The sequence below is a fragment of the Homo sapiens genome, chromosome 2, assembly GCF_000001405.40.
Source record: "Homo sapiens chromosome 2, GRCh38.p14 Primary Assembly".
Classification (NCBI taxonomy): Eukaryota; Metazoa; Chordata; class Mammalia; order Primates; family Hominidae; genus Homo; species Homo sapiens.
In genome coordinates this window covers 200,800,740-200,811,584 of record NC_000002.12, presented here as the reverse complement: position 1 = coordinate 200,811,584, position 10,845 = coordinate 200,800,740, and the positions used below count along the sequence as shown (strand labels likewise).

General features: G+C 41.5%; 1 long non-coding RNA gene across 1 annotated transcript in view, besides 2 other annotated features; it reads left to right on the top strand.

Moving 5' to 3' along the window:
• The window catches only part of BZW1-AS1 (BZW1 antisense RNA 1), a 31,676-nt gene that overhangs the window by 586 nt on the left and 20,245 nt on the right, over window positions 1-10,845 (top strand). The window lies entirely within an intron of this gene.
• Window positions 2-151: a silencer, noted in NCBI's record as "silent region_12227". NCBI's record gives its function as "represses an Ori minimal core promoter by ATAC-STARR-seq in GM12878 lymphoblastoid cells {active_cell/tissue: GM12878}" and the evidence as "EXISTENCE:reporter gene assay evidence [ECO:0000049][PMID:35858748]".
• Window positions 202-461: an enhancer, noted in NCBI's record as "active region_16962". NCBI's record gives its function as "activates an Ori minimal core promoter by ATAC-STARR-seq in GM12878 lymphoblastoid cells {active_cell/tissue: GM12878}" and the evidence as "EXISTENCE:reporter gene assay evidence [ECO:0000049][PMID:35858748]".

Below are 10,845 nucleotides of genomic sequence, written 5' to 3'. Positions count from 1 at the left end.
GTCCCTCGCCGCCGGCCCCCTCCTCCAGCACCGGAAGTCGAAGCCCGAGGGCGGGGGGCCCTCGGGTCGTGCGGGGGCGGAGGCTGGGGGCGGGCATGGGGGCGTGGTTTGGGGAAGGAATCCGCACCTCGCCTCCGCCCTGGCCGGGATGGGCGGAGTTCGCTCCAGCTGAGTCCCCTGCCTGGCGACTTTTCTCTGAGGGGCTGTCTCATTGTTCACTACCTCCCTTAAGAGCGAAGAGGACACAGGCCGAAGATTGAGAAGGGGAAATTCTGTCCTCCAACCGCGGTCCCTGCGCGCTGCAGCGGTTGTCTCCCGAGTGTGGTGGCTATGGGGACTTGGAGAGCATCAGAATCCCTTGGAGGACTTGTTATAACAGACTGCTGGGCCCCACCCGTAGTTTCTCATTCTGTAGGCCTGGTGTGGAACCCATGAATGTGCATTTCCAACAAGTTATCTGTGATGCTGCTGCTGGTCCGCACCTTGAGAACCCCTCAGTTAGAGGCTATATCATCAGGGAGCTGGGGTACGATCAGATTAGATAGTGCGTGTGAAAAGCACTGTGGACGTGACAAAACTCTGTGCAGATAAAGATGCACAGCGCCTCTAGGATGTAGCCCCATGTTTTTATTCACTGTACAGTAGTTTACTTCTCTCCAGTTGCTTCCTCACTCTCTGGTAGGAGGAGAGTGGCTTCTCTTCCCTAAACCTTTTGATAAAATAGTTTGTTGACTTCTTTTCCCTAATTAACTATCTGACCTCTACCCCACCCCCCCGCAACTTCATGGAAAAATGACTTTCTCAGCGTTCGTTCCTGAAATTATTGCCAAACCCAGTGTTTTATTCTTCACCCTGTTTGCCTCCTCTGAGCATTGAATGTTACCTACCTCTCTCCTTGAATCCTGGCTCCAGCTATCCTGGTTACGTTCTGAATGTGCCTTTGCACGGTATTTTCTGACTCTTCTTTTCTGTACTGATACCTTTTCTTTCTGGATACTTTCTTCTATGGCAGTCTCATACATTCTCAAGGATTTAACATTTACTCCACTTAAAAGAGTTCCAAGATCATCTACTGAATCATTAAGCAAATATTTGTTAAATCCAGGCTCTATGCCCTTCCAAGTTGAGGCAACAGCAGTGGGAAGGAGGCAGGAAACAAACTGCATCTGTTGGAGGAACTGCAAGAAGCTAGTGTGATTGGGAGGGCTGTGGGGAGCAGAGGGAAGTGGCTGGAGTCTGATCTCTAAGTGTCTAGCCCCTTCCTTTCTCCCAAGGCCCCAGTCCACACTATCTGGCATCTTCACTTCATGGCTAATTTAACACTGTCAGTGCTGTCAATTGCTCTTCCCCCAGAACTGTATTTTTCACATCTGAAGTTCTGTTAAAGGACAACGTTTCACAAATAAAAATGATAACTAATATGTCCCTATATGTATCAGGCCCTCTTCTATGCACTTTATGTAGTAACCCCATTTCATCCTGAAAACTACCCTGTAATCTAGACACTATTATTAGTCCCATTTTACAGATGGAAAAGCCGAGGCATCGAGGTCAGGTAACTTGTCTAAGATCATAGCGCTAGTAAGTGGAAGAGGTCCAGTTGAACCCAAGCAGTCTGGCTTCACCATTATAATGCACCGCCTTACCACCAAGATCTTATTTATTCATTCAACAAATATTTATTCAGCTAGAGACCAGTAGAGATAGTGACATGTTACGCCTATGGCCTCACAAAGCTTATCTTCTATTTTTGCCACGTTTTAAAATTGTATCATCTTTCCCCAGTACCATCTTGATTTAGGCATCTATTACCCCTAACTAAATGGGACTTTTGCAATAACTTCCTAACTGTACTATCCCCTTTCTCAACATTTCCAGAGCAATCTTCTCAACTGCAAGCTGAATCATTTCTCTTCACTGTTTAAATGCCTCTGTTTATACTCAGGGATAGCTCTGACCAATGTTTTTCACCTTTACTTCCCATCACATTTGTGGTTCTTAACCTGTTATTACCATCATTGTGGGGTATGTAGCAAATGATTTTTGACTAAAAATGATATTAAAGTAAGCAGATTATTTTCTTTAAAATGTAAAGTGGATTAAAGGTTTTCCTGAACTCCTGGCCTCAAATAATCCTCCCACCTTGGCCTCCTGAAGTGTTGGGATTACAGACCACACCTTGCCACTTATCTTTTCTCTGCTTTTGGGTGCACCCATGGGAATAGGCACCGTGCAGCTAGCAGGGGAAACGTTGTTTGTGAATTGTATTATGGTAGGAAAAGGTTCCAAACAATTGAACTCTATGCTTTGGTCAGACAGGACACATCTTGTCTTGACCTTTCTTGAGATGTCCTTCCCTCATTTTCCACTGTCAAAATCCCACTATTGTTTCAAGCCTTATCTCAACTACTGCTTTTTTCCCATAAGCCTTTCTTAGTCATGGATGTGAACACATTCCTTCTTTGTAATTGGGCTACAGGCATGAGCCACTGAGTCTGCTAATTTTTTTTTTTTTTTTTTGGTGATGATGGGGTTTTGCTTTGTGGCCCAGGCTGGTCTCAAACTCCTGGCCTTAGGTGAGCCTCCCGCCTCAGCCTCCCAAAGTGCTGAGATTATAGGTGTGAATCATCACGCCTAGCCTTGCCCAGTTTTATGGTTGTTTTGGGAAAAAGGATATGCTGATTTCTTCACTCTGCCATTGCTGTGAATCCCCCTTAGTACTTTTGGATTTAAAAATTTTGAACTACTTAAAAAGAAAGGTGCTAAGTGCAACATGTGAATGTGCTACTGCTTTTAACTTCATTGATGGGAATGGATACCTAAGTGTTTCTTTTTTAAAAGCAAGTGACAATAGGTTTTTATTCCTAACAACTAGAAGAATATCAAGGGCCTGTTTTGAAAAGCACATTGTTGCCCTTGGAAAATGAGCTGGGGGAAGTATTTATTCCTATGCTTTGAGTCTTGTAGAAGCTTATAGAACATCCTATGAACCTGGCTTAAATATTGTAGCATATGTATATGAAATACTTCTAGTTACACACACCTATATATGTATGCATATATTTATGTATGTATGTGTGGCCAGAAGTATTTTCATAGGCTCCACAAAATTTTTACAGTGAAAAAGCTTTGAGGTACAATGAGCTTTTAAATAATTTCATTTTAGGTAAAAAATGTGTTAAATATCATTCACTTGCTACATATCTCATATATACCATTTCTTTTACTTCTTCATAGAATTATTTTAATAGTTATAATTATTAATAATATTTGACATAATCAAGATAAAAAGCATTGCTTAGTTACATTAACATTTTAGTAATATTTGTTAAATAAATACCCTCTTTTAGCAAACACACTCTATTATTTAGATTTTAGTTTTTTTTTTTTTTTTAATAGAGACAGGATCTGGTTATGTTGCCCAGAATGACCTCCAACTCATGGGCTTTAGCAATCCTCCCACCTCTGCCTCTCAAAATGTTGGGATTTATAGGCGTGAGCCACCACACCTGGACTCGATTTTTGAATAGGCCGAAATAATTGGGAAGCTTAGGGATTCAAGAAATTTGGCATACATGCATTTTCTGTTTCTCTCTCTCCCCTCTTAACATCAGAATAATGACAGGTTAAGGTGAAAACTCTTTGCTCCTGTAAAGTGCTTGTTCAGAATATAGTTTGAAGTGAGTTGCCAAATAAGTGATATTTGGGGTGATTTAAATATGTGCATTCTAAGTTATATAGCATTCAAGACATTCATTAAAACGAAGCAAAATAAAAACCAACAAGAGAACAGTGTAATGGCATGTGGTATGTTAGCTATAGGATTGTTTAGAAAAAACTGTTTACTGCTTATTATTAATAGTTCATATCTCCTAGAATATTACTGCAGAACTGAAGATTAAGAAATGTTACTAAGAGGCCGGACGTGGTGGCTCACGCCTGTAATCCCAGCACTTTGGGAGGCCGAGGCGGGCGGATCACGAGGTCAGGAGATCGAGACCATCCTGGCTAACACGGTGAAACCCCGTCTCTACTAAAAATACAAATTAACCGGGCGTGGTGGCGGGCGCCTGTAGTCCCAGCTACTCAGGAGGCTGAGGCAGGAGAATGGTGTGAACCCGGGAGGCAGAGCTTGCAGTGAGCCGAGATCCCGCCACTGCACTCCAGTCTGGGCGACAGAGTGAGACTCCGTCTCAAAAAAAAAAAAAAAGAAATGTTACTAAGGACGCCAGATCCAAACATCTCTGTGTTGGAAAATTATCTCCAATGCATAACGGTTTCCTTGGCATATTTAGATGGCCATCTTTCTTTGATGTCTTTTTTAAAACCTACATTTCATTTTTTGGGAGCCTCAGTGCGATGGAATTTTTTTTTTTTTTTTTTTGAGACGGAGTCTCTCTCTGTTGCCCAGGCTGGAGTGCAGTGGTGCGATCTTCACTCACTGCAACCTCCGCCTCCCGGGTGCAAGCGATTCTCCTGCCTCAGCCTCCTGAGTAGCTGGGATTACAGGTGCGTGCCACCACCCCTGGCTAATTTTTGTATTTTTAGTAGAGACGGGGTTTCACCATGTTGGCCAGGCTGGTCTCAAACTCCTGACTTCAAGTGATCCGCCGGCCTCAGCCTCCCAAAGTGCTGGGATTACAGGTGTGAGCTGCCGCGCCCAGCTGATGGAAAGTTTTTATTTAAGATGAAAAAGCAACTAAACTAAATAGAACTTAATCACTGCCTTATTGCTATTATTAGTAGTACTACTGCTATTACTTGGTATGTACTACTATTAGTAGTAATAGAGTGGTCACAGTAGACCTTAAATTTATAGAGGATGTTACTGTTTACAAAATATTTTCACATGCATTTTATAATTCTTCACAGAAACTTTGTGAGAAAGTAAGGCTGCCTTGCTTTCAAAGCAAGCTAACTATAGATAGAATTGATGATTATTAGTCTTCCAGAACAAGGCCATGGACTACCATTAAGTAAACTTAATGTCAATTTATCTGATAAGAAAAAGTGGAACCTTTTTTCTAATGATACATTTCAGGTCCTACTCTTAAAAAGCAGTCTTGGAAGATTTCCCAGATCTTTCTGGGATAAAATTAGTTTTCTTTAAAAAAGCAGTTTCATTTTCCAGAACTTAACCAGTATAGAAGGCTTTAGCATCAGAGAACTTTATACAATAAGGCTTGCCCAGCACAGAGATCCTTAGCACTAGGTGACTAGTTATAGTAAGTGCTGAAATGAAATTCTCTGTTAGTTCTCTATACCTGTGCTTTGAATTCAACTCACATTTTTCAATACCTAAATGCCACGAAGAACTTTCAGAACCTAAGCGTGTTAGGCCGTTCTTGTGTTTCTATAAAGAAATACCTGAGGCTGGTGCGGTGGCTCAGGCCTGTAATCCCAGCACTTCGGGAGGCAAAGGCAGGCGGATCATGAGGTCAGGAGATGGAGACCATCCTGGCTAACACGGTGAAACCCTGTCTCTATTGAAAATACAAAAAATTAGCCAGGCGTGGTGACACGCACCTATATTTCCAGCTACTGGGGAGGCTGAGGCAGAAGAATCGCTTGAATCCAGGAGGTAGAGGTTGCAGTGAGCTGAGATCACGCCACTGCACTCCAGCCTGGGCAACAGAGTGAGACTCTGTTTCAGAAAAAAAAAAGAAGAAGAAGAAGAAATACCTGAGGCTGCGTAATTTATAAAGAAAAGAGGTTTAATTGGCTTATGGTTCTGCAGGCTGTGCCAGTGTGGCACGAGCATTTGCTTTCAGGTGAGGGCTTTGGGAAATTTACAATCATGGCAGAAAGTGAAGTGGGAGCAGGGACATCACATAGTGAGAGTGGGAGCAAGTGTGAGTGAGGTGGGAGGTGCCACACACTTTTAAACAACCAGATCTCACGGGAATTCAGAGTGAGAACTTACTTATTACCAAAGTGTTGGTGCTAAAGCACTCATGAGGGATCCGCCTCCACGATCCAATCACCTCCCACCAACATTGGGAAATACATTCAACATGAGATTTGGGAGGCGAGAAACATCCAAACCGTATCACCAGGTAAAAAGGGCTATAAAATACCATTAAGAACATTGGGGTTTCATGACTTCAGAAATTTTAAGAATTTCTTGCCTAGGAAGAACAATGTACAAGCAACAGATTTAATTGCCTTTGAGAAACGCTTTTGGTGAGAACTCTTTAGGAAGGACTCTGCTTTTCCTTATGTGCCTGGTGTGCTGTAATGGAGGCCCAAAGATAGTCATGGTGCTTGTGACATGCACTGTCCAGTGAGGGACATGGTACAATACCACCACGAATGTATCATACAAGGTGCTATTAGAATATGGAAAAGGGAGTGACCAACTCCACAGGGCTGAGAAGGAAGGGGTTCCCAAAAGATTTGGAATAGGAAGCATTTGAGGTAGGTCTTGGCAGAAGAGAAGAGGTTGGTCAGATGGGGAAGAGGGAGGTAGGAGCAGCATGTGGAGCAGCCTGAAATGTAGCTGTCACATTCTAGAGCAGGGAGCAGCTTGCTGTGTGTGGTGTAGGGTGTATGTGTATCTGTGTATGTGTATGTTGGGACAGGGATGGCAAAGATGAAGAGGGGGTTAGCTTGAGAAGGGCTAAGAGCCCATCCTAAGGAGTTTGGTCTTCACCTATGTTCTGCTTTCTATGTGGTAATTCACTTTAAAATGCTTAAGAAATTTAGTGTAAACTATATGATATATTTAAACATAAGGTAACTTTTTTCTACACCCTAGGTAGCATCAACTTGCACTCTAGGTGTAGTTAATTAGCATTTGATGAATCCAAATCATGAATCCACACTTCAAAATTGGTTACCTACACATTTCAACTAATTTTCCAAGAGTCCATTTTAAGGTTTTGTTCCTTGGTATAGTGGATGTTAGAAATAAGATACGTGGTTGGTTAGAGACTTTACACTTGCTCTATGAACCTCATCCGAGGAAGGTGGAGGAATCCAGCAAGCGATGCTGGCAGCAGCCTTCAGGTGTGGATTGCTATTGGTTCTCAGTACTCTCCTCCCAGAGGGCTAGATGATTCTGCCGTCAGTCTGTTGTGTCCATTCAGAGTGAATCTGTCATGTGAGATGTTTGACTTATCTCTAACTTTTAGTGGGGGCTGTGGATATTTATGAAGAGGACCTGCCAATTGCTGTGTTCATCAATTGCCTAATTGCCTGAGATCACTGTGTGACAATCTGGTCAGTAGTGGAGACCACTAGAGATTATCTATATGATACCAGCAGACTGTCAATATTATAGAAAAATTACTCTGGGGAAGGGAAGCATTGGTGAGCTGGAGGATAAGACCCTGTTGGATTCCATTTCAACCAAGTCAATATAACCCTCCAACAACCTGCTTTTTGTATACTTGCTTTTCTTTCTCTTCCCTCTATGGATTCTTGAGCTACCCAGATTAGGCCAGGTACAGTGGCTCACACCTGTAATCCCAGAGGTTGGGAGGCCAAGGCAGGAGGATCACCTGAGGTCAAGAGTTCAAGACCAGCATGGGCAACATGGTGAAACTCCATCTCTACTAAAAATAAAAAAAATCAGCTGGGCATGGTGGTGTGCACCTGTAATCCTAGTTACACAGGAGGCTGAGGCAGAAGGGTTGCTTGAGCCCAGGAGTTTGAGGCTGCAGTGAGCTATGGTGGTGCCAGTGCACTCCAGCCTGGGTGACAAAGTAAGACCCTGTTCCAAAAAACCCCCCAAAACAAAACAGTACCCAGATTCTGGCATTGCCTCTTTGGGTGGTATATCAGGATAGGGTAGGGGTGGGAAGCAGGATGTGGGAATTTTGAAAAAGCTCCTTAAGTGGTTCTGATAGATCTACTCTTGCTTCTTCTAGGGATAGATAATTTAGGAGTGGGAAGAAGAGCATTAGGGCCAAGGAGAAGAGGATTGGATTGTGTGTGTGTGTGTGTGTGTGTGTGTGTGTGTATTTCCTCAATTTTTGTGGATTATGAGCAACTTGTGGAGATTGAAAAATGAGCTCCCAAACTTTGATTTATTTACTTTTTGGATAAAAATATAAATAAACTATTGGTAACAATGGTGTTTGAAAGGCCTTGGGAGGAATATATTTTCATTATACTTATCTGGATAAGCTTGGAGGACATTTACATTCCAACAAATTCTTGAGCACAAGGAACAAAGAAACCAAAGAAATGGAAAAAGGTCTTAACTAAATCGGTACAGGCTCTGTTCTTGTTATATTTACTAAAAGGAAAAAAAAGGAAAAGAAAGAAGTTTATCATTTTTTTTTCAAATTTTTTTATTGTGGTAAACATACATAACCTAAACTTTACCATTTTAACCATTTTTAAATGTACAGTTCAGTGTTATTAAATATATTTATAATGTACAACTATCACCACCATCTATCTCTGTAGCTCTTTTCATCTTGCAAAACAAATCTTACACCCGTTAAACAATAACTCTGATTCTCCTTCCCCACATGCTTGGCAACCACTATTCCGTTTTCTGTCTCTCTGATTTTACTACTTTAAGGTTTTCATATAAGTGGAATCATACAGTATTTGTCTTTTTGTGACTGGCTTATTTCATTTAGCAAGGTTCCTCAAGGTTCCTCAAGGTTCATCTATGTTGTAGCTTGTGTCAGAATTTCCTTCCTTTGGAAGGCTATTATTTGTATAATATATACCACATTTTCCTTATCCATTCCTTCATTGATGGACACTTGGGTTGCTTCCACGTTTTAGCTATTGTGAAAAATGCTACTGTGAACATGGGTATATAAATATCTTATTGAGACCTTGCTTTCCATTCTTTTGCTATAAACATAAAAGAAGTGGAATTGCCGGCCAGGCATGGTGGCTCATGCCTGTAATCCCAGCACTTTCGGGGGCTGAGGCAGGCAGATCAAGAGGTTAGGAGTTTGAGACCAGCCTGGCCAACATGATGAAATCCTGTTTTTACTAAAAATACAAAAATTAGCCAGGCATGGTGGCATGTGCCTGTAATCCCAGCTACTTGGGAGGCTGAGGTAGGAGAATTGCTTGAACCTGGGAGGTTGAGGTTGCAGTGAGCCAAGATTGTGCCATTGCACTCCAGCCTGGGCCACAGAATAAGACTTCATCCTGGGGCAAAAAAAAAAAAAAAAAAAAAGAAAAGAAAAAGAAAAAAGAAATGGAGTTGCTGAATCATTGGGCAATCTAATTTTTGATTTTTGAGGAACTACCATACTGTTTTCCACTGCAGCTGTACCATTTTACATTCCCATCAGCAGTACACAAGTGTTCCAATTTCTCCATGTCCTGGCCAACACTTTTTATTTTGTGGTCTTTGTTGTTTGTATGTTTTTCAACTTTTATTTTAGGTTGAGGGGGTCCATGTGCAGGTTTGTTATATAGGTAAACTCATATCATAGGGCTTTGTTGTACAGGTTATTTTGTCATCCAGGCGCTACGCCTAGTACCTAATAGTTATTTTTTCTGATTCTCTCCCTTTTCCAATCCTCCACCCTCAAGTAGGCCCCAGTGTCTATTGTTCCCCTATTTGTGTCCATGAGTTCTCATCATTTAGCTCCCACTTATAAGTGAGAACATGCAGTATTTGGTTTTCTCTTCCTGCATTAGTTTGCTAAGGATAATGGCCTCCATCTCCCTTCATGTTCCTGCAAAAGACATGATCTTGTTCTTTTTTTATTGCTGCATAGTATTCCATGGTGTATATATACCACAGTTTCTTATTCAGTTTCTCATTGATGGGAATTGTATTAGTCTGTTCTCATACTACTATAAAGAACTACCTGAGATTGGGTAATTTATGAAGAAAAGAGGTTTAATTAACTTACAGTGCTGTAGGCTGTATAGGAAGCATGGCTAGGAGGCCACAGGAAATTTACAATCATGGCAGAAGGCAAAGGGGAAGCAAGGCACATCTTACATGGCAGCAGGAGAGAGATAGCACAAAGGGGGAGGTGCTACACACTTTCAAACAACCAGATCTCATGAGAATTCACTATCAACAGAACAGCAAGAGGGAAATCTACCCCATGATCCAATTACCTCCCACCAGGCCCCTCTTCCAACACGTGGGGATTACAATTTGAGATGAGATGTGGGTGGGGACACAAAGCCAGACCATATCAGGTATTAGGTTGATTCCATGTCTTTGCTATTGTGAATAGTGCTGCAGTGAATATTTGTGTGCATGTATCTTTATGGTAGAATGATTTATATTCCTTTGGGAATGTAATGGGATTGCTGGGTCAAATGGTAGTTCTGTTTTTAGCTCTTTGAGGAATCGCCACTCTGCTTTCCACAATGGTTGAACTAATTTACACTCCCACCAAGAGTGTGTAAGCATTCCCTTTTTTCTGCAACCTTGCCAGCAGCTGTTATTTTTTGAGTTTTTAATAATAGCTATTCTGACTGGTGTGAGATGGTATCTCATTGTGGTTTCGATTTGCATTTCTCTAATCAGTGATATTGAGCTGTTTTTCATATGCTTTTTGGCCACTTGTATGTCTTTTGAAAAGTGTCTGTTTATGTCCTTTGCCCACTTTTTAGTGGGGTTGTTTGTATGGAGGTTCATCATTAGTTACATTTAGTCAATAGATTATATGTGTTGTAGAATATGAAATTTATTCATTTAAATTGTAAATAAACTATTTCATCAGGTTAATCGCTGTATAAATTATGTAGGCTCTTCTTACATACGGAAGAACCTTAGAGTCCTGTGTTTGTTTGTTTTTCCTTTGTTGGTTGCATGTCAGCATCTAACTTTAAGCATATAAACCAAGGAGGGAGTGTGGGAGAGGGGTGATGGATGAAAAACTACCTATTAGGTACAATGTA